General features: G+C 39.4%; 1 protein-coding gene across 8 annotated transcripts in view, besides 1 other annotated feature; it reads left to right on the top strand.

Moving 5' to 3' along the window:
* Positions 1-7,030: 7,030 nt before the first annotated feature.
* AKAP6 (A-kinase anchoring protein 6) overlaps positions 7,031-25,847 on the top strand; it is a 508,387-nt gene continuing 489,570 nt past the window's right edge. For 4 of the 8 annotated variants that reach the window (XM_024449754.2, XM_047431967.1, XM_017021808.3 and 1 more), the window contains exon 1: positions 7,031-7,141. The gene's annotated coding sequence lies outside the window, so the exon portion shown is untranslated. Of the gene's footprint in view, positions 7,142-18,118; positions 18,212-18,467; positions 18,518-23,031; positions 23,101-25,847 lie in introns of all 8 variants that reach the window. The other 4 variants (XM_024449755.2, XM_047431970.1, XM_047431969.1 and 1 more) reach the window with 3 other exon arrangements.
* Positions 8,996-9,290: an enhancer, noted in NCBI's record as "tiled region #12143; K562 Activating DNase matched - State 5:Enh". NCBI's record gives its function as "activates a minimal TATA promoter and a strong SV40 promoter by Sharpr-MPRA in K562 cells {active_cell/tissue: K562}" and the evidence as "EXISTENCE:reporter gene assay evidence [ECO:0000049][PMID:27701403]".

Below are 25,847 nucleotides of genomic sequence, written 5' to 3' on the forward strand. Positions count from 1 at the left end.
AACCCTTTGAAGGGTCTCAGCTCTGAGGCTGTGAACCCCTCTGGGACCTAATAGCTTTTCTTTTCCCTTCCTAGGAAGCTGCATGCTACTGGTGCCTACTTATACATTACACAATTTCTCAGATGACTTTGTGAATCAGTTAGGCCTCTGTTTACTGTGACTGAACCTCCAAGCCATACATTGCCTTAAGCAGAAACAGGGACTTTTGGACTCATAACCAACAGAACCAGAGTAAGGCTGATTTCTGGCATAAGTGGTGAGAGGAAAGTGTTCCTTTCTCTCAACTCAGCTCTGCTCTTCTCCTTGTGTTGGCTTTATTCTTAGACAGGTTCTTCATTCATGAATACAAAATGGATGAGCAACTTTAGACTTGACATCCTTTCCTATTCAAAATCAGGAGCCAATAGTGATTTTCAGTAAAATGTTTCATTGCTTCTCAGTGGCTTCAATGGTATCCCATGTACACCTCTGAACTAATTTCCGTGGGTCATGGGAATAGTAATAAACTGATTAGCTTAAGATTGATTGGGTCACATACTCCATTCCTTTCGTTAGATTCCCACCCAAAGCATGTAAGTTTGAGTGTAGAAAAGGTGATATCTAAGAGGAAATAATAAATGCAAAAATTAGGTAACAAAATAACTGAATTTGTATACCATTATTGCTGCTGCAAGTTCTGTTCTGATTGCCAATGATTGATAATCATCAGGTAATAATTTCTTCTTTACATGGCTACCTACATAAAGCAGAGGGATGATGAGCATTCAATAACAATAGCAGCCACACAAATGCACTGTGCCTAAATATCTGATGTCCAAATATTTTTGGCCTCCAAATACTCTCAGAAAACATAGAAAGTGTATGGGTTGAAGCAGCATCCACAGTCAGCATGGGCTTATGATCATATAGGCATGTGGTTAGAGTGTTTGAATACTTTTCTATTTTGTGAATGAAGGTCTTTTTTAAAGCCAAAATTGGGCGCTATTGGTAGAGGATTCACTAAACCCTTTCTCCTTCTGCATAAGATTTTGACGTTTGGTTAACTCTGTAACTCTGTTCCCTTGAAAACAGTAAAATGTCAACCATGTTATTGGGTAACATTGGTTAGGGTAAAAATGACCCTTGGTTAGTGAAAATGACTGCCTTGGAGAAGGGGAATTTACCTGGTCTGGCCCTGACTCTGCTCTCCAAGACGGGCTGTTTGTTTACTCTGTCATAGCCCTGTTCCATTCATTATATTCCCTGGCTACATCTGAAATGGGAGATGAGGAGTAAGCCCTCCTTAGTAGCTAGTTTGAGATAACTATAAATTCTAAGAAGAAGCTGTAGTTTTGGGCTTCTCTGAGTGCAATGACTCTTGTAACCAGGTGTGTCTCTTGGAGGGATCTGGAAGTTATGCCTATGAAGTTGTTACAAAGATATTGGTTCCTGTGAGGAATGAGGTTTTCAAGGCCGGGCACTCTTGAACTTGCCTAATGTGTTCTTACCTGAGTTCTTAAACTGTCACCAGGGGGCCAGATAGAATAGCTTTGGACACTGTATAGATTGTTCCATGGATTACCACAAGACTCCAGAGAAGAGGAATGCCTGATGCTGCTCTGTTGGCAAACTCTCTGAGTAGGCTGGTGCCAAATGTTGACTGTGATAGTCTTATACACCTGAACGTTCAGTTGAGCTTCAGAAGACTCAGTGAAGGTATTGCAGACACATAGGTAAAATGCAGCCTGAAGCAAGGATCATATTCCTGATCTCATGATGTGGCAGAACTGGATAACTATGCATTTTAGCTGTTTCCTTTTCTCTCATGGCACAAAGCTAAATTCTATTTTCCAGCTTATCTTGCAATAGGTATGGCCATTTGACCAAGTTCTAACCAGTGGAATGTGGGGTGGAAGTGAAGAAGGGTACTTCCAGACCTAGCCCATGAAAACCTCCCCTATACCATCTCCCATCTTTCCTCAATTGGTCAACTTATGCCCAGGAATGTAAGGCATTAGAGGAAGGTGAAACCTCAAGAGAGAGGTCTTGAATAACCACATAGAAGGTCATCTGCAGTCAGGAATATTCAGTTAGAGTTCAAATGAATAAGACATACACAACTATATTTAGCCAGAGTAATTTAGCAGCTTAGCTGTGAAATCCATTAGTACTTCCTTAACTAACAGACACATTCCTCAGATCTACAAATTTTCTCATTGTATACCAAGAGATGCAGGCCTGCTGCATTTTCAGAAATGGCTTTAAGATTTTTTAAAACCCTAGCATGCAAACACAAGATGTATGTTTACATCATGAGTTAATGATTTGGAAATAATACTAATTTGCTTTTGAAATAATAAGAATTTGGAATACAACTTTGTCTTTGTTCATATTTTGCTGCTATAACAATATCTAACACTGAGTAATCTATATACAAAGAAGTTTATTTGTTCTGGAGGCTGGAAGTCCAAGATCAAGGGGTTGCATCTGGTGATGACCTTCTTGCTGAATCATAACATTGTGGAAGAGATCACATGGTGAGAGGGTGAGAATGCAGAGATGGAAAAAGGGGGCTGAACTCCTGCAGTCACTAAATTACTCCTATGATAGTGGTATTAGTCTATTCACGATGGCTCCACCTCTTAAGTATCATCACAAGGGCAATTAAGTTTCAACATGAGCCTATAGTTCCAGCTACTTGGGAAGCTGAGGCAGGAGGATTCATTGAGCTCAGGAGTTTGAATCCAGTCTGGGCAGCATATTGAGATGCCTCCTCTTAAACAAACAAATAAACAAACAAACAAACAAAACCAAACCCAGAAAACCAAACCCATGAATTTTGGAGGGAACACTCAAACTATAGCCAATGCCTACTTACAAATAGGAAAAAAATGACCAGGAGGAAACATTTCTATAAATGTTGCTGTCTGCAAATGATACTACCAGATTTCTGTCTTGTCAGTTCAGGATGGCAGAGAAAGATTGGAGGCAGACTGAGTTGTGCTGAAGGTGAGAGAAGTTTTATTTTTTCCTTCTTCTGCAGCCGCAGGCTGAATTGGAGGTTTAGTGGTGTTCTAGCTCATTGCTGTTTACAGTCATATTTACTATGTTGCAGATGGACACCCAATGGAACATTAGTCTATGAAAAAAGGATTCTGTGATTAAATATAAATTAGGAAAATACTGCATACTATATTTCTACAGGAGAGTCTCAATGCATATTAGCAGATTGAAAACTCTTAGAAAATCTGCAACCTATTTAATAAATGCTGATGGGAAAACTGGCTAGCTACATGCAGAAAACAGAAACCGGACCCCTTTCTTATACCTTATACAAAAATGAATTCAAGATGAATTAAAGACTTAAAACCATGAAAACCCTAGAAGAAAACCTAGGCAATACCATTCAGGACACAGGCATGGGCAAAGACTTACTGATTAAAGCACCAAAAGCAATTGCAACGAAAGCCAAAATTGATAAATGGGATCTAATCAAACTAAAGAGCTTCTGCACAGCAAAAGAAACTATCATCAGAGTGAACAGGCAACCTACAGAATGGGAGAAAATGTTTGCAGTCTACCCATCTGACAAAGGTCTAATATCCAGAATCTATAAGGGACTTAAACAAATTTACAAGAATAAAACAACCTCATCAAAAAGTGGGCAAAGGATATGAACAGACACTTCTCAAAAGAAGACATTTATGTGGCCAAAAAACATATGAAAGAAAAGCTCATCATCACTGGTCATTAGAGAAGTGCAAATCAAAACCACAATGAGATACCACCTCACGCCAGTTAGAATGGCAATTATTAAAAAGTCAGGAAACAACACATGCTGGAGAGCCTGTGGAGAAATAGGAACGCTTTTACATTGTTTTGGGGAGTGTAGATTAGTTCAACCATTGTGGAAGACAGTGTGGCGATTCCTCAAGGATCTAGAACCAGAAATAGTATTTGACCTAGCAATCCCATTACTGGGTATATACCCAAAGGATTATAAATCATTCTACTATAAAGACACATGCACATGTATGTTTATTGCAGCACTATTTACAATAGCAAAGACTTGGAACCAACCCAAATGCCCATCGATGATAGTCTGGATAAAGAAAATGTTGCACATGTACACCATGGAATACTATGCAGCCATAAAAAAGAATGAAGCTGGAAGCCATCATTCTCATCAGACTAACACAGGAACAGGAAATCAAACACTGCATGTTATCACTCATAAATGGGATTTGAACAATGAGACCACATGGACACAGGGAGGGGAACACCATACACCAGGGCCCTTCGGGGGGTTGTGGGCAAGGTGAGGGAGAGCATTAGGACAAATAGCGAATTCATGCAGGGCTTACAGCCTAGATGATGGGTTGATAGGTGCAGCAAACCACCATGGCACATGTATACCTATGTAACAAACCTGCATGTTCTGCACATGTATCCCAGGACTTAAAGTAATATAAAATAAAAAAAGAAAGTCTGCAATAAAGGAACATGTTTTTAACACTGTCACTTTATCATAAATAATGATATATAATATAATCTTGTTAGAAAATTTATATTTTATTAAATTATAATTTTATCTATAAATGGATAATTTGTTCAGAATAAACTACCCCAAAATCTTGGTGGTGTTTGTTTCTCACTCATTGCAGCCCAGTGTAGGTCAATAGGTAGTTGGGAGAGGATGGTTGAGCTCCATGCAGTCATTCAGGGACCCAGGCTCCATCCACAATGTGTGGCCATTATCTTTCTGGGCTTCAGAGTTCCACTGGATTCTTTGCATCCAGCTAGCAGGACAGGAAAACATGAAGAAGAGACACTTGGTCTTAGCCACCTTTGGAGTTGATGGTTTCCACTTCTACTTCCGTTTCATTGGTGAGTGCCATTTTGTGGGCAAGCAATTTAGCTAGTCCAGGTTGCTAAAAGTTTGACCTGGCCTCAGGTTTGATGAGCCATCCATTTCTTCCCATCAAATGATTGACTTGCTTCTGGCAAAAAAGATTAACAAGATTCTTACCATCTTGAGAAGCCATATTCAAATCTGGAACACCTGCTCCCACCCTGTCCTCTCCTCTTTATAGCATGTGGATTTCAGCTCTGGAAAGACTAATCTTGTTCTGTAATAGGTCCATGTCTCTTTATCTTCTCCAGAGACTGAAGGGTTCTTCAGAGGTATCTTAAAGAGTCAGCTTACAGCAAATGAGGTTGGAGGCAGTGGTTGAGAATGGCTCATCAGTCTGGGCTCTGGGCTTCTTATCTTGCCTCAACCAAGGCAGTCCAGCTTTGATCTGTATCATTAAAAGAAAGGTTATATTACTAATGAAAAACCTGAAAACTATGGTTATTAGCTAAATCAATCATCTCTGCAGATGAAAAACTTGAGGCCCCAAGAAGTTAATCAATTGGCCTGATATCACACAGATGCTCTAGGAGGACCTGACATTTACAGTTGGGTTTCCTGACTCTCAGATCTGTACTCTTTGTACTGGGGTAGCTGCCTGCTACTTCTCCCCTTGTGTGTGGCATGTGGTCTGAGGTCTAAGATAAAGGGAGGGAGTCAGGCTCTGCTGATGCCACAAAGGACCTAAGCAGGCAGATTCACCTCCTGCTTTTGGTCTCTTAATTCCTCTCTAGATGAAGCAAGAACAAGTCTGTCTTCCCATCTAGGGCAGGGTTGCTCTGTGCGAGGCTGATGGTGCACGCTGCTGGGATATTGGCACTTCTCAGGCATTTTATTAGCTCCTGTTTACAGAGACACTGCCTGAATTCCTTCTGCCACTCATCCCACACCGCCTATGCTGGTGGTTAACAGTGCCATTTTAAAATCTCAAGCAGGAGGAGACAACATAATTGTCTCATGTTTTAAGCTTTTGGAATGTTGTTCTTTTTCAGAGTTGTGAAGACGGAGTGGATACAGGTCAACTTGATTCTGCTTTTCTCTATCAATGGCCTGCAAATATTAAATATGCAAAACATAGGCTGCTCTGTCCATATCTCCTTCTCCCCAGTTCTCACCACATGACGTTGATTTCTGCTCAGGACTGGAAAGAAGTGATTGCTTTAGATTTGCTTTTCTTTTACCAACTGGAGAAATGCCTTACCGTGTCTTGTTTAAATGTGGCTTTTCACACAGTTCCAGCTTTTGGGGTTGGGGAGGGGCACAAATAATCTGTGTGGTAGGCAGTTTTATTGTTCAGAAAAGAAGAAAACAGACCCCAATGTTTGGAATGCCAACGATTTAGGAAGTTTCTAGCAGGTCTGCTACTTGTTCCAACCACTAGGTTTGATCCCAGAAAAGACTCACATGCGTTTTGGCCATGAGAAGGAGGGGTTCCCTGCAGGCCAAAGGAAGGGTCAGTAGAAGTTGAGGGTGGTGTGTTGTGCCCCTCTAGATTCCAAACTTCCCTTTGCTGCCTATCTGATGACCAGGTGAAAGCTGGGTTTATTCTGCATGGGAAGGTTCTGTGGGTTGGTGTTCATCAGGGAAAATAACCAGGACAGACTTCATTGGCCAAGGGTTTGCCCATGTTTTGAGAATTAAAACTTGTTTACTTGAGAGTTAGAGTCATTTGGTCAGCTGTTTATATTCCATTTTTAATTATTTTTGTGCTCGCTGTTTTGTTCTTTTGGTCTTTGACAGATGAGCAAAAATTCTTTTTAATAACTTTTAAAAAGCTATCCCAGTGCTGACCAGGGAGGAAAAAGTGATCAAATTGTCTAATAAGGAAACATTGTACATTTCAGTTTTTATTTGCTTAGTACTAATTCTATTTTCTCCTCCCACCTTTTTTTTCTAAATGTATAACAACAAAGGGGGAGATAATTTTTGTTTTTTCCAAAATGCTTTCAGGGAAATCCCTTTTAAACCTATGGATTTTAGTCCAATGAGGAATCCTCTTCCTTTGGTCTAAATTTTGCATATCGTCTGTTTCTTACAGGGCTTCCGTATTGTCTCAGGCTCCACTGGAAATGCAGCAAGGATTCCTAGCACATCCCAGTTGCCATAGCAACAGCAGTCTTTCCCATAATGAGCTGCATCATCTGAACTGATGTCACAGCATCATGCAGCAGGTCAAACAAGGCATCTCCTAGTATTGCATCCTACAGATGTGCTGTAAACATCAAAAGAAGACGGTGGGATCAGGAGATGGTGAGTGTTAAATGTCTGGGCCTTAATTGCACGGCTGTTTTGTTGGTTAGTCGGTGTCTGCTAAGGCGGAGATTGGGGGATGTTGTCTCTGCTTAAAATGGACTGGGGAAAGAAGGGCTGTTTTACCTAAATCGTTTTTCAGGCTGCCGGGTTAAGACAAAGGCCTGTAAGAGTCATATAGGAATTAAAATATGTAGAATTATTCTTGCTCCAGCTCTGTCTGTTATTTTTAAGTGTTCTTACAGAATTTTTCATAAACATAAGATGATTTTTCAATTGCAAAACCCCAGATAAGCTTTAAAATGAGTAGTTAACAGTATTTAAGCATTGTAAAAATATAGATTTCTTTTTGGGAGGCAGAGCTAATTGGCCCCCTCTTTGCTCTTGTGAATTATGAAATATTCAGTGATTTGCAGTATGAAATTCATTATTTACCTCGGTTGGGTTTCAGTTTCTTCATGGCAAGGAACAAATGCTGAATAAGCATTTGACATAACCCTGATGTGAAAGGGGATCTCTTGCATATTCAAGACAGAATTTATTAAAAGCATAAAAACCTAAACCAAATGAAATTATTTGAGCCTTTTGATCTATATGGTAGTTCTTCAACCCATGTCCTTCAGAGTTAGTTGAAAGACTGCCACATATTTTTCCATCTCTAGCTAGTCTCTGAAATAGCTGGAGTTGTTTGCAGGCTGACTTGTAACTGAGAAAGGAACAAGTCTCCTCTCTGCGGCAGTTGCAGTGAAGGGTAACCCTGGGAGAGCCTCTGAAGTGGCAGTGGTGTTGCCATCCCTTGCTTAACTTTAACAAAAATCTGGGTATGATGAATAAATATCAGGGTCCTCAGTGGTTGTAGGGATTACAGACCTCTGGACTCAGTCATAACCTCAACTCAATTCCAAAACTCTAAACACGTATCATTTTCATTTCAACTCCTAGCTCTGTTTTTAGGCATCTTTATTATTATTATTATTTTCTAAAAAATTAGTCTGACAGTGTCAGATAAGGAGCAGAATGTTGCCTTTTGTTTTGGGAAATGAAATGGATTTCCCTGGTACAGCTGATTGCTACTAGGGGAGAGAAAGGAGGAGGCACATGTCAGTTCAATTGATCAATATGTCCACTTAGAATCAGGGAGTGGTCTTGTGGCTTAATGCTGCCAAATTGATAGTTTTTACTCAAAAAGTCTTACACGAAAGAATGGCAACCATTGAATTCCTCTTCTTTTAGTCTGTTTATTGGGGCTAAAGAGATATATCATGGAAAGCAGGAAAAGCAATACCTTTAGCTAGCTTGGAGTGATTTTTTTTTTTTTTTTTTTTTTTTTTTTTTGCACAGAGTTAAGTATGCTAGTCCCATTAGGCACCAGCCAGAGGAAAGGCCTCAGGTTTTAATTTGTTTGTTTATACCACATCACGCACATGCTTGCTACTCTCAGTCCTTTAAGCTTATGTTTCTGACATGCAGCTGTATAGGATGGGAGAGGTCAGCTCAGCCTGGCTTTATCGCAAGCACTTAGAAGCATGAATTGTTCATTGCCTGCTTTTTTATGTCATATAATGTGAGCAGAAAGCTCTGCTGGGACTGCTGGGTGTGAACACATCTAAGTCGAAAGCTCTAAGGTGACAGGGAAGAGTGCTAGATGGTGATGGGGGAAGGGAAAGTATGTCTTGTAGCTAGATTATAAATCTGGATAAAATCACTTAGTGCCTTTTAGAATTTTCTTAAAGTATTATTTCTGAAGAAGAGCAATGAAGAAAGACTTGTTTGGTAACATGAATTTCTAGGAGTAAAAAAAAGCAAAAGGCAGCATTGTAATGAGTTTTCTGTTTGCTTAATTCTTGTCTCTTTTGTTTAAAGTGCTCTTCAGCTGCTTCATCATGGTTGATTTGTTCAATTACTGGAAGTCACAAAAGCTAGATTCCTTAAGGGCAGTGTTAGAAAAAGTGGAGTCATGCTTTGAGGGTGGGGAAGGGCGCTGGTGGGTGTGGACTGACGCAGTTATCTAGTGGAACATCCTCCCGGTTCAGACAACCCTGTAATTTTTCCCCCCGCAAATGTTCAAAATGCAATTACAGTTCTCCAACTTTATGCTTTTGTGCTCTTTTTGCTCCAGGAGAACAAAGCCCTGGTAATGAGAGCTATCATCCTAATGTTTTGTTTCTTCGTTTCTTTGTAGAGGGCCACAGCCTGCGCTGCTCTCTGATTAGCTGCATGTCTTAATTACTGGCTAAGGCTATTTCAGTTGTCTTAGTTTTAATATATCCCCAAGGGGTAGATGGTGTGTGTGTGTGTATAGGGGAAGGGAGAGATTTCTCTATGGCTGTATTTATTGGTGCCTCACTGAAACTTTCTACAGTTTAAGGAATTTTGTTTCACAGTAATGATAGATCATCAAGACCATGTTTATTGGACAGAGTTTAGGCCATGGAAGCCTCACAAGAAGTTAATGTCCTCTATACTTTTGGTCATGGCTTTCACAAATACATTACAAAGTTACAAAGAAGTTAATTCTTTGCCGATAACTAGGCCGCATAGGGATGATAAAAATAATAATCATAATAACAATCATAGCTATCATTTATTCAGTTCTTACTGTGTATCAGTACTGAATTAAGTTTTGTGTATATCTTATTTAGCCCTTATTATTATTATGAAGTAGAGAGTAATAATCTCACTTTATAGGATTAGGTGTTATTATTCACATTTTGCAAAAACCAGTCCTTAGCCAGGCGAATAAACTTGGCTAAGGTTATGTAGTTAATAAGTGATTGGGCCAGGATTCCAAACCATTGCGATCTGGCTATGCAGCACACATGCTTACCCACGGCCATCTCAGTTTTATGACATCTTTACTGTATATACCATACAGATCAGTCATCTATACTCTATCACACGTACCCCACCCCTCCTCATTCTAATTGGAAAATCAGATTTCATATGTAGAATGAAATGTCATTTGCAACACTAAGGTTGATTTCACTGTAAGGATGAGCATGAATCTTGATCAGATGTGAATATTTACTTTGTACCCAGAGATTTAAGTAATGAAGAGTTGATGCTTAGACTTTTGCCACTGCCCTTGCTTGATATAACTTTCTAGCAGGATCTCTGTATGGAAAATGTTACATCAATAATTGTGGGCATGATGGAGTTGCACTCAAAGCAGGTCTTACCTGAGTCAGTAATGATTCAGCTTTGTTATAAACCTGTCTTATCAGCTATATTTGTGGTGCTTTGTTAACTTTAAGATGTTTGTATTCCCTGCTGTTGCACCAGGTTCTGTTCTCAACCTGGTGTTGAGAACAGAAGCAGAAACTTCTCTCACAGTCTGGAAAGTGTAATCTGAATCTATCTCTTAGGTTAAGAAGATAGAGGATTTATTTTGCTGAATGTATCAGTGGCTGAAACCAAACTCTGTCTATCTCTGACAAAGTACAAGAATGACAGTCTTGTGTAATAACCTGGAAGCCTTGTGTTTGAGGAGAGCTGATATAGTCATTTCTGTATCATCTTGCTCATCCCCAGCTATCCACGCCCAGCGTCATTATTGGGCTCTAAGGGCTGTTCTTTGTTTGAGTGTGGGGCTAATGCACACACTGACAGCATGTTGATATTGATTCCTGTATGGTGAATACTTAGAAATATTATTCCACAGGGCTCATTAGCCTTTTCTAGGTTCCAGGAAGAAGTTAACCTTTGTCCTAACCTGCTCCAAAGAGGCCCAAGCTTGTGTCTGCATGAGGTACAGGAATGAGAGGCTGATCAGAAAGCATCAAAGCTGCTAGGTACAATGACTACAGGAGTTAGGTTCCAATTAGGAAATAAAATAGCCAGTGGAATTTAGGGAAGTTGGTGGTCTTGCTACATGTCTCTGATTTTCTTCTATTTATAATCCTAGAACCCATGAATGGCAGTTTGTTTTGATCGCATGGATTCAATTCAATTCAATAAATATTTATTGAATATCTCCTATATGCCAGGCATTGTCAGGGAATCTATAGCAATGAGCAAGACAGATGCAAATCTCTTCCCCAGCTACATTCTAGAGGGGAAGGGAAAAATGGGTAAATTGGTAAAATAATTTATTTCCTCTAATACTGCAATACTATTTCTATTTACTTTTTATTCCATGTGTTATTAGAGAAGCCCATTATCTGTGCACATTTGTATAGGTACATATAGCTATATGGTTTATATGTGGAGGTAAACTTACTGCATTAAATAATAACTTTTTTTTTTCTTGCATGGGTTTGGATTAGAATCTTTCTGGATGTGGACAAGACCAATATGGCAATTAGTATTTTTTTGGTATAAACTATTTTGAGAAATAAAATTATAATCAGTCAAATAGTGCATGTCTATCTCAGTTGACAAACTTGACATATGGAAATATGAAATGTGTGTGGCAGATCAGTTAAGGAGAGATATTTTTGTTTTTATAAAAGATATTCATCACCTTTAAAAATTGTCCAGAGAGCCCTCTAAATTGAGCATTCCAGCCAGCCTGCTGATGGAGGTATGTATCATACAAGGTACCAACTACACACTTAGTTGTACAAGGACAGGTATACCAGTTACCTTCAGTCTCATCTAATCGCCCTAGTGTGCCTTACAGTATTGCTTTAAATGGGAAGCATTTCTCGAAACAATCATATTGACTGAACTCTGTAGATGGGCCCTGAGTGTGGTTTTTCAGAGGAATAGCAATCCATATAGGACTTTGGCCATGGCAACAGAGTTTTAGGTACAGTAGCCCCTTCCGCGCCCTTATTTGTGATTTAGCCTTTTGTGGTTATGGTTATCCGTGGTCTGAAAACATTCAATGGAAGATTGCAGAAATAAACAATAAGTTTTAAATTATGCGCTGTTCTGCATAGTGCAGTGAAATCTCTCACCATTACTGTTCTGTCCTGCCTGGGATGTGTATCATTCCTTTGTCCAGCATATCCATGCTGTATATGCTACCAGCTTGTTAAGTCACTTAATAGCCGTCTTGGTTTTCAGATCAACTATCTCGCTATCATAATGCCCATGTTCAAATAACCTTTATTTTACTTAATAATGACTCCAAAGCTCAAGATTAGTGATGCTGGCATATTGTTACAATTGTTCTGTTTTATTATTAGTTATTGTTAATCTCTTATTGTGTCTAATCTATAAATTAAACTTTATCACAGGTATATATGTATAGGAAAAAACATAGTATATGTAGGGTTTGGTGCTATCCATGGTTTCAGGCATCCACTGGGGGTCTTGGAACATATTCCCTGATAATGAGGGGGACTATTGCAGTTTGAATTAATAAGGCATACAGTTTCTTCTCCACGAGCACATACCGGTCAGTAATTGAATTCCTGAGTTGGCTTTAAGATTTGGTGAAGATAAAGGACAGACTTTGTTTTCCTCATAAGCCACCAGCCATATTTTTCTCTGTTCTTCAGCCATGGGGCATGCTCCAAACTCTTCCAGCCATCTTGCAGTGGTGTGCTTTGAGTCACAAGGGTAAGTAGGGAGAGAATGTGGAACCTTTATTTTATTTTCAGATTTTTTTTTGGAGACAGGGTTTTACTCTGTTGTTCAGGCTAGATTGCAGTAGTGCAATCATTACTCCCTGCAGCCTTGAAATTCTAGGCTCAAACGATCCTCCCACTTCAGCCTCCCAAGTGGTTAGGACTGCAGGTGCACATCACCCCACCTGGCTAGTAGAGCCTTTAGAATGGGGTCTCAAACTGGCTAATACATGAGCTAAACCTAGCCTGCAGCTTGTTTTGTATGGCTGCTGGGCAGGCTTTATGGGTGTGCAACCTGTGTAGTTGCATAGGGCCCTGCACTGAGAAGGGCCCACACTTAGTTTAATACTCTGCTGTAACCATCTTGGAATTCTTAATAATTTTTTAATAAGAGGCTCCACATTTTTATTTTACAGTGGACCTTATGTAGCCAGTCCCATATGGCCCTTTTGGTGCCCCCACTGATACTGCCTGAGCCCTGTAGATGTTTGAGTTTCAGACTCCCCACTTCCTCCTACTCTGGAACAATTCAAATAGAAATTGTAGTGCTTAGAAAAACTAAGGGACCATTGTCAAAACAACCCAGAGCAAGGCCCTTGTAGATGGTAATTCAGTGGCATGCAAAGGAACTCAGTGGCATTTCTTTTATAGGCAATGGGGGATATATTACATTATACTTGAAGATATTTGGTAGGTGAGGTTTATTTGTCACCACCATTGCTTTCAGGGGAGAAATCAAATCTTCTTTGCAAAGCAAGCTAATTAACCATCCTGTTGGTTCAATGTTTATATTAATTCTCTTGCCCTTTGTTTACTACTTGATTACTTTTATCACCTGCTTTGTTTAACTCTCATTTAAATTACACAACATATTTATGCTGTCTGGGTATTTTTTTTTTTAATACTATCCTTTTCTCCTTTTTTTTTTTTTTTTTTTTTTTAATTCTCTCTCTCCAGGAGGCCAGAGGGCCTATAATTCGAGGTTATATTACTACAGGAAAAGTTCATTTTTTTTTTTCAATTTAAAAGGGAATTATAGTCAATATTTATAATGAACCCTTCTCCAGCAAGGTAGTTCCAGCCATGCTAATGTTCAGAAGTCCATATCTGCCATTACTGTTTATAATAATGAGATGCTGGTGACCAACTCCTGGACCTTATGGTGGGTGAAACATTCCCACCCATCATGTCACAGTGAGAAGTGGCTGTGTTAATCTATTAATCTACAGATTTGCAGAGAGTTGTTAGAAAATGGGTATGAATGATGGCACTTGCTGCACAGGAAAAAGGTAAGTTTTTTTTTTTTACTGTGTGAGTAAACAGGAACCTGACAAATCCAGAAAGGGCTCTTGCCACCTCTTAGAAGCCTAAGAATAGAGTCTTCTTCAAGGATCAAGCCCCAGGAATACAAGACCTTGTACCCCTGAACAATTCTGATACTCACTATGTCCATCACTGTACAAGCTGTAAAACTATCTGTTTCAGATAATTTCACCAGTAGTCAACAATTGACAAATGCATCAGATGTCTACCATGTACAATATCATATGCTAAGAGAACAAACATTTTACAAATAACGATGACTATAGGCACACACACATGTATATTACTTGGAGAACTTGACATACATTTAACATGGTGTTGGCTGGGCTGTGCATACAGATGGTCATGATTAGTTCTTCCTTTTTTCTGAACATACCTTGACATGGAGCTCCAAGCATATCTGTGGAGGCTCTCTCATCTTCTGTTCTCATCCAATTTCTTGATTTAAGTGTTTGTCTAATAACTCATTACTTTTGCTGGCCCACTCAAAATTCTTGTTTCTCAGCCCTTTCTCAGCTTTCTCCATCTTGAGTGCTCATAGTTTGTTACTACTCCACCTCGTCTCTTATCAGTGTTACCTTCTGGGACTGTTCTGAACTCATTACAGTCCTCCCCACCAGCAGCCCCTGAGGCCCTCATCTCCCTGCCACTGTTTATTCCTATTACATTAGCATAAAAGTAGCCCATGGAAAACCAAATGACACTGCAGTTTCTCTGATATGTCCCTTGGAAGAAATCCGCTTGCTTTTAGCTTTTAATAGTTAATTCAAATACTTCCTTGTATTTAATCTGTTTTTGTCTTTGTGTGAATTGAAAGGGAATGACCTTTTAAAACTCCTATTAGTCAGTCTTGCAGGCAGCCTATATGGAGAATCAACTAGAAATAACTGAAACAGCAGGGGAGGTGGTATATGATGTGGTAGAAGACTATATGCAACAATGAAAACAGGCGTGCAAGTACAGTTTAAAAAATTTGTCCTTTAGGGTTATTGGTACATTTCATTTTAAATTAAAAGTAAATAAGAATAAGGGGGTGGTGATGAGAAGATGGGCAGCACAAGAAGAAACTGAAGGATGCACATTTCTTCAGGCTTGGCTAGTAGGAGCACACAGCTTCTAGAACACTGTAGAGGAACACCTGCCTCAGAAGGGCAGCTTCTCCAAGAAAAAAGGACAGATCTGAAAACAAAGGTAACAATAAAAACTACCACAAAAAGATATGATTCCTCTGAGAACAAATAAAGAATCAGATTGGTGAATTAAGATGTTATGGTTTATATTCATTTAGTAATAAATAATTGATAACAGGATTTTTTTAAAAATTTTATTTTATTATTATTATACTTTAAGTTTTAGGGTACATGTGCACAATATGCAGATTTGTTACATATGTATACATGTGCCATGTTGATGTGCTGCACCCATTAACTCGTCATTTAGCATTAGGTATATCTCCTAATGCTATCCTTCCCCCCTCCCCCCACCCCACAACAGTCCCTGGTGTGTGATGTTCCCCTTCCTGGATAACAGGATTTTTAAACATTTGAATTTTGACTAAACTGAAAATAAGTTGAAAGGCAGAGGATGGAGAAAAAGATAACATAACCAGCATAAGGAGAGAAACAGGCCTGGCATGGTGGCTCATGCCTGTAGTCTTAGCACCTCAGGAGGCTGAGGGGGGAGGATTGCTTGAGCCTAGAAGGTCCAGGCTACATTGAGCCATGATTGCATCACTGCACTCCAGCCTGGGCATCAGAGCAAGACCCTGGCTCAAACAAAACAAGACACGTTTTACTCTGTTTTTTTTGTGTTTGTTTGGTTTTTTGTTGTTGTTTACTTAGAGAGTTTTTCCTTTTGTTTTTTGCTTTAGTTAATATCATTTGGTTGATTTGTTGTAAAGGTGAATATACCCATATATTTTGTTTTTCTTTAAAAAAAATTCTTTAAGAAAATAACATAAATTATTATCTTTGGTATGATGTTTTTCTCTGGTTCTTAGACCTTAACACCATCCTGCCTAAATACCATATATGCTCAGATACCCAAACAAGAAGTAGTAAATTGAGTGCCATCAACCAGCTTGAGGAGAAAACAAGCTTTCAAAAAAAGTCTACTCTAGAACCTTAAATGGTGGTGGAAATGTTACATGCCCAAATCTAAAGTGATATTTTTGCAATAGCTTGCATCAAATAGGGGGTTTCCATTTTGGATTTGGAATCCTAACATCCAGCAATTTATACATATATATATATAGACTGAAATTCTCTGAGCAAGAGATTAGTGGTAGGGAAGGTGAGCAGGGAATAGGCAGTACCATGAGAATAATCATCATGTTTCCCTTCTTGACTTACTCCATCTCCTGACACCCTATACCTAAACACTGAACAAAAACAGAGCCTGGCAGGGTGGATTTTGGAGCCAGGTATATTTACCTTTGAATCTTAGCTCTACTATAAAATTATTAGAGTTATGATCTTAAGGTTCTTAGAGCCTCATTTTTCCCCATATGTAAGGAGAATATCCATTTTACAGGATGAAATGAAGTATTTTATGTAAAGTTTTTGGCACAAAGTGAGAATTTGATAAATGAAAGTTATTGTTTCACATACTTAGAAGTAGTGGGGTAAGATTATTACTCTCTCAAGAAGAAAATGCAATTTCTCCTCAACTCCAGCCCTGAAACCAAGAAAATCATTCTTAGAGCTTTTAAGAGAAGAACTCTTTAATATATTTTAAATATTTATACTGTGTCAAGCATATATATTATTTCATTTAATTTCCTGTCTCTGCTTAAATTTTGTTCATAACACTTATCACCTTCTGCAAACTAAACATTTTACTTGTTTGTTTGTTTCTCCCTGGTATAATATAACTTGTATAAGGGCAGAGATTTTTGTCTATTTTGTTCATTGATGTTTCCTTAGCTCCCAGAATAGTGCCTGGCATATGGTAGGTGCTCAATAAACATTTGTTACGAGAGTAAATGAATCCACATAACCCTGTGAGAGGAGGCCACATGATTGTATTCAGTAATAAAAAATTAACTCTCTTTTGCAGTGGTCCTTTTCAAGGTATAAACACCCTTGAGTTATTCTTGCTATTCCAGATAGCATGCCAAGAAATTCTTGTGGCTGATGGTTAGGGTATCATGTACCATCCAATTATTCTAAATTCTTCTATTGGAAGCAGGGATATTGCCTGGGAAGCTCTGATGTCCTCCTCTCTAAAGGGTTTCTATGAGGAAGCTGGGGTTTCACAGGTCATTTGAAAGATACATTGATTCTTTTACTGGTGGTTGTCTCTTCCTTTCTCTCTTTAGTGAATTTGGGTCCCCTTCAGGAACAGGGTTATTTATTCTCCTTTAAATCATGAATCCCCAGCTGTAAATCTCAGATTGATGGATTGGTGGAATTTGAAAGACTCTTTGATGAAAGTTTCAGATAGGGAGAGTGATAAGCCATGACAGTCAGCCCTTCTCTGTTGCTATTAAAAATGCTCTAATGAGAAATAGAGCAAAGCACAGGAACACAATGATACAGTTGTTTCATGAAGAACATACAGCTTCATAAATGAAGGAATAATTAAGAGAGCCTAATTCTATACTTATTTTGAATTAGATTCAAAACAATCTTTGAAGTGGATATCTGCAGCTGAATTTTGTACCAAAGGCATATTCTAAATGTCATACTTTTGAACTGAGTATTTATTTCTCAGGGAGCAGGTGTTAGGGTTTTTTTTTTTTCCTTGAAATTCAAACCATTTTGACAGTATCCTATTTTTAGAATGCCTTTTTCTTTAAAAAGACAAGCAATATCCAAAAGCAGTAGAAAGACATCTTGGGAGAAGGCAGTGTTCTGGTTATACCATAATCATAACAAGCTGAATAAGAAAAAGTAATGCTGTTAAAATTTAAAACTCAGTGTTTTTATTTTATGATAATAAAACATATTTGTTTTTATTAAATGTTATTTAATATATTAAATAAAACATATTTAATATACTTTCAACAACCTTATGCTACAAAATAAAAATTATACCTCATGAAAATTTTCTTGCATCTGCAATATATGGCATGGTCAGTTGCAATGTACAAATACATTACTGTGTTCAAATAGCATGTTATTCTAATCTATTTCAGAGAGCACTGGACTGGGAGTAAGGCACCTGAATTTTTAGTCCCTGCTGACATACTCTTCCTGAATCTTGGTTTCCTCCACAGTAAAACAAAAGGGTAAAATTTAAATGATTTTTGTTTCCTGATAGCTCTAGTATTTTATGCCTCATTTACAGGGTTCTCCATATTTCTCCATTGTTTGTTTAGTCTTAGGATTTTCCAAAAATCTGTTCCACAGAGTATTTTAAATTTCCTTAGTGTGCTCATGTACCTGAAAACATATTTTAATTTATTATCTTAGTTCATTTGGAGTGCTATAACAAAATACCATAAACTGGGTTGCTTGTAAACAACAGAAATTTATTTCTCACAGTTCCGGAAGCTGGGAAGTCCAAGGTCAAGGTACCAAAGATTTGGTGTCAGGTGAGTCCACTTTCTGGTTCACAGCTGGTACCTTCTAGCTGTGTGCTCACATAATGGAAGGGATAAAGAGTCTCTCTTGGGCCTCTTTTATTAGGGCACTAACCCCATTCATGAGGGTTCCACCCTATGATCTAATCACTTCCCAAAGGCCCTGCCTCCTAATATCATCACCTTGGGGGTTAGGATTTTAACATATAAATTTTGGGAACGCAAAACATTCAGACAATAGTATTTATATACCATTTATATTTCACACTTGTGTGTTTTATTAGCTTATATTTCATAATACTTTTGGTGGTCAACCTAAAGTCAACACATAAAGTTTCGCTTAAACTAACAAGCTATTATCTTTCACAAGAAAATTTTTTTAGAGTTTCCTTATCTTGCAAATTTGTGTTTCTATTTGTTTTTTCTCTTTTTAGCCACAACATATTTTTGCTGTTAATGAGTTGGGTGAAGTATTTGGTTCCCCTCTACCCTTCCTATTGGGTATAGAATTTCTTTAGAAATTTACACTGCTGCTGTAGACATTCACATAAAATATAAGTGAAAGTGCTGTTGTTAGGTCAAACGGTATGGAATTTCCATTGTTGTTGTCAAAAAATGGCCAAATATTAACAGTTTCATGATACTTTGATAACAGTTTCCAATAATTTGTTCATTATCATAGCAATGTTAGTCTTTACTATTTTTATAACTCAGTGATGAGAGCCAGTCCCTAAATGAACTAGTGAAGTAGTGCAAAGAGCACACAGGGTCCTTGGTGAAAGATAGATTGGGGATTGAATTCTGCTTCTATACTGCCAACATTGTGACCATGGGCAAGTTGCTGAGTTTTGTTGAGCTTCAGTGTCCTTGTTTGTAAAATAAAAATGATAATGCCTGCCTCTCAAGCTTGCTGAGAAGAATGCCCCTGGCTCCCAGAATAATGTTTTATTTTGTCTAAAATGACTCTCAGGCTGGATGTGGTGGCTCAGGCCTGGCCATCATTTTAGGGAAGCTCAGGAGGGAGGATTGTTTGAGTACAGGAGTTCGAGACCAGCCTGAGCAAAAAAGTCCCTAAAAAACAAGTAAAAAATTAGATGGGCGTAGTGGTGTACAACTGTAATTCCAGCTACTAGGGAGGCTGAGGCAAGAAGATTGCTTGAGCCCAGGTGTCTGAGGCTACAATGAGCTGTGATCATGTCACTGCACTCTATCCTGGGTGACAGAGCAAGTCCCTGTCTCTGAAAATAAATACATAAATAAAATAACTCTCTTGAGTCCATGAGTCTGGTACCAGACTGGAAGGGACAAATCTTTGAGTCTCTACCTTTTCTCTGGATGATCTATGCTTGTTGATGGCTTCTTCTATTTCCATGTGCTGATGACTCATAAATTCAGATTTCTAGCCTCTGATTATTTTCTCCCAGATTCAGACTTGTATTTCTCCTGCTTTCTGTATGTCTTTTCCTGAATCTTCCACAGGCACTTTTCACTTAGCACACCTGAAATGATCTCATCCTTTCTGAACTTCCTGTCTGGAATTAAGAATTGTCTTCAGTCCCTGCCCTTAGGGTGGAGACTGGGAGTCATCCTAAGCCCTCTCTTCCATGTCTACCCTCACCTAAGTCCTGTTGAGTCACCAAGTTCTGTTTTGTTTCTAAGTGACTGGGATTTGGTAAAAATGAGCTTAAGATCACCCCATATAATTTTTGATTGTGTGATAGATCTAGGTCATGCTCTTCTACTTCCTGCCTTCCCTTTCTCTAAACCATACAACTGATATTATTAGACATTTTCTCATGAAGCCCCTCCTATCTCCATGATCTTTCTGCTGCTCTTTGAACCTTTTCCAGCTTTGTTAAAGCCCATGTCTAGGACAGCCTCAAGTATCCAGTGTAGCTAGTGCACTGTGGTAAAGAGAGGAAGAAAATGCAGTGTCAGCGCTGGATGGAGACTCTACTGAACAAGAGATGTGTTATCCTAGACAGAAAGGGTTTGTTATTTTTTTTTAATTTTGAAATAAAATTCTGTCTGATCGGAGAATTCTCCAAATTGATATGTAAAGTTACTACATCCTAATTCAAGGGGATTACATAGTGCTGACTTCAGTACCAGAATGTATTTCTTTTTTGCACAATTATCATTTGTCTTTGGAATTAATTCCAGTAGGCAGGAGCCAGTTTTAACTCCATGGCCTACAACCCTGGCATTGTTATGCACACTAATGTTCACAATAGAACAAAACAGCAACCTTTTTTCCCGTTGAGAATTTAAAAGACCTTTTTTCCCCTTGACGATTTTCCCATGAGGAAGGCAGATAGGATGTTGGTAAGCTTGGGCTTGGGGCCAGTTAGATCTTCTGGGTTCAAATCTCAGTCCCACCCCCACTAGCTCTGTGCCCAGGGAAACTTGCCTAACCTTTCTGGGTCCTATTTTCTTCACGGTACCTTCCTTGTCAAGTATACCTTCCTTGTCAAGACTTAGAAACAACGTGTGTAAAGCACCTAGCAGAGTGCCTAGGATACAGGAGGTGCTCTGGAGTGGTTAGTGGAGACCCAGATTATTCAGAATGTAAGCAGAGGGCTAACTGGTGGTCAGCCTGCCTTGCCCTGGTTTTAGGAGAGTTTCTGTTCCAATTCCAGACCTGTGGCATATCGGTGGTCAAGTAAGTCTTGTACCATAATCTACTCCAGCTGCCCTGCTTCCTCCTTAAATTAGACAGGAACCCCAGCACTTTGGGAGGCCGAGGTGGGTGGATCACGAGGTCAGGAGATCGAGACCATCCTGGCTAACACCGTGAAACCCCATCTCTACTAAAAATACAAAAAATTAGCCAGGCATGATGGCAGGCGCCTGTAGTCCCAGCTACTCGGGAGGCTGAGGCAGGAGAATGGCGTGAACCCGGAAGGAGGAGCTTGCAGTGAGCCGAGATTGTGCCATGCACTCCAGCCTGAGCAACAGAGCAAGATTCCGTCTCAAAAAAAAAAAAAAAAAAAAAAAAAAGAAATTAGGAACAACTGTATCAACTGTAAAGAACTGGGGAGACTAGCAGTATCTCTGCTTGGCCCATGCTTCACACCCCATTAAAACCCCAGTTTCTTCTTACAACCTTTGCCTTTTCTCTAGCTCTCTGTGGTCATAACGTTCTCTGAATTCCTAAAGCAATAATGCTTTTTATCATGATTTACTACTTGTTCATATACTCTGAGGTTGTTTCACATGTGTAAGTCTGTCTCCTCAAGCAATTGGAAGCACCTCTGGCAAAAACTCTGGCTGTTGTATTCCCCAAGGAGCTGGCCCCTGTGCGAAACTGGGGACAGGTGCAGTTTGACCTACTCTCCCTGTGTTCCCAGTCCCTTTTGCTACTCATGGATGTCTAGAAGCTCTTTCTGGAGCCTGCCATCAGGCATTGCCCAAGGCCATGTCCCATGATCCATCCATACAGTGTTGTCATCATTCTAGCTGTGATGTTCTGGGAGCTGTCCAGACAAGTAGTGATTATAAGACCAAGAGATTCTTGCAGTGTCCTGAATATAACACCAATCCAACATGCATTGATCTAATGCCTACATAGTGGCATGATTGTGCCATGATTGTGCAGAACATACGTAGCTGAGCAAGATAATGGGGAGTCAGAGAAATTATAAAACCACCTAATTAGTCCCAGTAAATACAAAGAGCTATGGGAAGGTCGATGAGGGTGCAGTTAATTCAGTCAGGGTTCAGGGTCTAAACAGGAAGTAAAATCTGACCTGAGCCTTGAGGAGTGACTGAGGATTTCAGCTGGGTATAGATAAGGGCATTCCTGAGTATGGGTGACCACTGTGTTAAGCAAGTGGAGTATAAGAGTATATACATAAGGAGGCCTGGACGCAGTGGCTCACACATGTAATCCCAGCACTTTGGGAGGCCGAGGCAGTCAGATCACTTGAAGTCAGGAGTTTGAGACCAGCCTTGCCAACATGGCGAAACCCCGTCTCTACTAAAAATACAAAAATTAGCTGGGTGTGGTGGCATACCCCTGTAATCCCAGCTACTCAGGAGGCTGAGGCATGGGAATCTCTTGAACCTGGGAGGCGGAGGTTGCAGTGAGCCGAGATAGCACCACTACACTCCAGCCTGGGCAACAGAGTGAGACTCTGTCTTAAAAAAAAAAAAAAAAAAAAAAGAGAGAGAGTATATATAAGCAGAATGATGGTATAGAGAGTACGTGTTTAGGATGAGGCTCAGAGAGGAGGCTTGGATGGGATTTGGAAGGGCATGTCAAAAAATGGCTGTGTAAAATGAATATTTATATATCAAATTTTGTTTTTTCTATGCTTCCTTTCTAATTTGGGGAAATGTTTTCATAGAAGGGATTTTAGGGCCAATGAATATTAAAATTCATAGTTAAAACACAAGGTTGTCAAGGGAAATTCCATATTTTAAAATGTGCATTTACTTCTCTAATACCGATTCAGTTCACACAGTCTATCACATACACAGGTGTTAAAATGCTGTATCTAGTTAACTTCACATTTTTCCCACAGGTATTGAATGTGTAAGCAGACACAGGGGTAACTCTCAAGGAACAAAATTGCCTGAAGGCTTTTCCACAGGTACAGGTAAAAATTGCCTTGGAAATGATTACATGACTTAGCAATGAGGGGTTAGTATTTCTTTAGGCTGTCAGCTGTGATGTAGCCAGTAGCATCTGAGCTTGAATTATCTCCATCACTGAGCCTCAGACATGTTTGGGCATGTCTGCTGAATGTCTGCCCTGTATCTGTGATGAGTTGGTGGTCTGTCCCATCAGTGTATTGATACTAGAGTCAAAAGCGGTTCCTAGAGAGAAAGTATCCTAAGAAAGGTGGAGTCAGCCACAGTAAGCTCTGATCACCAGAGGGTGGAGTGATTCTGATGTCAGTTTCTATGTGGGTCATGAGGAAGTGTCCTGTCTCAGCCATTCCCTGGACTCTGGCCTGAGTCCTAGAAAAGCTGGGGAGGGGTGAGTGGGCTGAATGTAAGAGCTCTTCCACTAAAGAATCTGTATGTCATTTGAGCACAAGACCACTGCTGCAATAGCCCTCAGGAGAGTATATTGTATAAGAGGGAGAAAGGCATATTTCCCTCTATCCACAGATGCTTGAAGCCAGAGGTTTCCAAACTGTTTTGATTGACATATTTATCTGTTAAAAAATGTCTGAGCTCTCTCATGTATTAATGTCTTACATATTTTACAAAACATATAGAAGTAAAAATCTGAAAGGTTAAAATAAAAATTAAACAGAAGTTCTAATATTTTCATCACACCCCAAAGGTTTGCCTTGCATCCCCCTTTATGATGAGTCCCCCATCATGAAGACCACTACTCTAGAGCATTAGTGGGAGGGGCCTGGCAGTGCCCAGAAATAACAGCTCTTCCTGGTAAAGGTGCCCATGATGCAGTGAGTGTGCATACATGTGAAATTCATGCTGGAGCTTCATGAGATTCTACTTAGGGCCCTGTTTTCAGGGAGCTAAGACTCTGATAAGGAGGTTAAAATAAAGATGGAGAGAAATGTAGCACATTACCAAAAATGTTACTCCATTTGAACTTCCAGGCTGGTGAGCCATGGAGGAACTTGAGTTGTACAAATTAAACATCTTTCTGAGACAGTATGTTTGTATTGCATTTTAGAATTTACCAAGCACTTTCACTTGTAACTTCCCAAAAACTCTGTGGGATATGAAGGATGGAAATTGAGAATGTCTTGTTTTATTTTATTTATTTTTTTTGAGACGAAGTCTCGCTCTTTCACCCAGGCCGAACTGCGGTGGTGCTATCTTGGCTCACTGAAAGCTCCGCCTCCCGGGTTCACGCCATTCTCCTGCCTCAGCCTCCCGAGTAGCTGGGACTACAGGGGCCCGCCACCGCGCCTGGCTAATTTTTTGTATTTTTAGTAGAGACGGGGTTTCACCATGTTAGCCAGGATGGTCTCGATCTCCTGACCTTGTGATCCACCCACCTCGGCCTCCCAAAGTGCTGGGATTACAGGCGTGAGCCACCGCACCCAGCCAGAAATTGAGAATTTCTTTAAGCCAATTTGGTTACACTCAGATTTCAGCTTCATTTTGGAAATCACAGTAACCACCCAAAAAGTTTGGGGTGGTGATAGTTACTTCTTCTATAGGCTTGATACCAAGCTGTAATGAATTCAAGCCTTAGACCAAAATATCATATAGAGATATTTATTAGACTAGCATTAATTTGCAAAGCAGGCACAAAATATTTCATACAGTCTGTTTGATAGATTGATGAACTCTCAGCTCTATTTTGTTTTAGGTGCTCTAACTATATATTAAGTAAAAAATAAAAAGTAAAAGCTTTGCTCTATTTAGGATTCTGCATCCTTTGTATGTAAATCAGAAATCCTTTTAAATCAATGGTTGGAGACAAGGACAGATTAGGGATTAAGTCTCAGGCAACATCACTCAAGGGTACAAAGTTGAGGCATCAGAGAAGTCTTGCCCTTTTTTCTTACACATGTTTCTAAATTATTTTAGCTAACCCATATGTCTTGAATACGTTTAATTTCACCAGGTAAAACCCATTTCTAAACTTTCAGCTTGCTAAATGGTAATGGTTATTGACTGAAGTAGGAGTGAGTCCATCCCCTTTCTGATGTATTGTTGCCTGACACACACACCCACTTTCGGACTGTACATTTCAGGCATTGCTTTAGCTGACTTTGCCTAGAAATGAAACTTAAATTAATTGTCACATATATCAAACCAATTAGAATGAAGTATTTAAAAATAAATTACAGAGCTTGTAACATTGGATTATCATTTTACAGACACTGAAGCTTATGATCTATGATTTGCCTAAAGTTTTTCAATTTGTGAGTGGGGATAAGACACTGAACCCAAATGTAAATGACTCTCAATTCCATGCTGTCTTTGTAATACCAATGCCCCTGACTATATGGTCACTTCCAATGCTGACCTCTTGGGATTGAGGCACTCTGGCCCTTGGCCACTTTTTAAAAAGCCTAAAGTTTAATTAATAGTAATAGTCCAACGTTAAAAAGTAAGGAATCTGTGTCTTCTGTTGACCTGGTTCCTCCTGTAATTCTTCCTGAGGGGAGGAAAGACAGTATGTATCAGATTTATGAGGCTTTGCTTAGATTTTCCAAAGGTAACTTCAGTTGCTTTAGTTCTTATAACTCTTTTCCTCAAGGAAATCGGGATACATTTTCTAGGCCCTGAGGGACATTTGTGTGTAGCCACATGGACCCTGAAGGCCATGACCCAAGGGCAGGGGCTGCTGTGGATAGTAAGATACAGATGAAGTGCTGGGCAGGTCAAGAACCTGGAAGACACA

This window comes from Homo sapiens, chromosome 14 (genome assembly GCF_000001405.40).
Source record: "Homo sapiens chromosome 14, GRCh38.p14 Primary Assembly".
In the NCBI taxonomy this organism is placed as follows: Eukaryota; Metazoa; Chordata; class Mammalia; order Primates; family Hominidae; genus Homo; species Homo sapiens.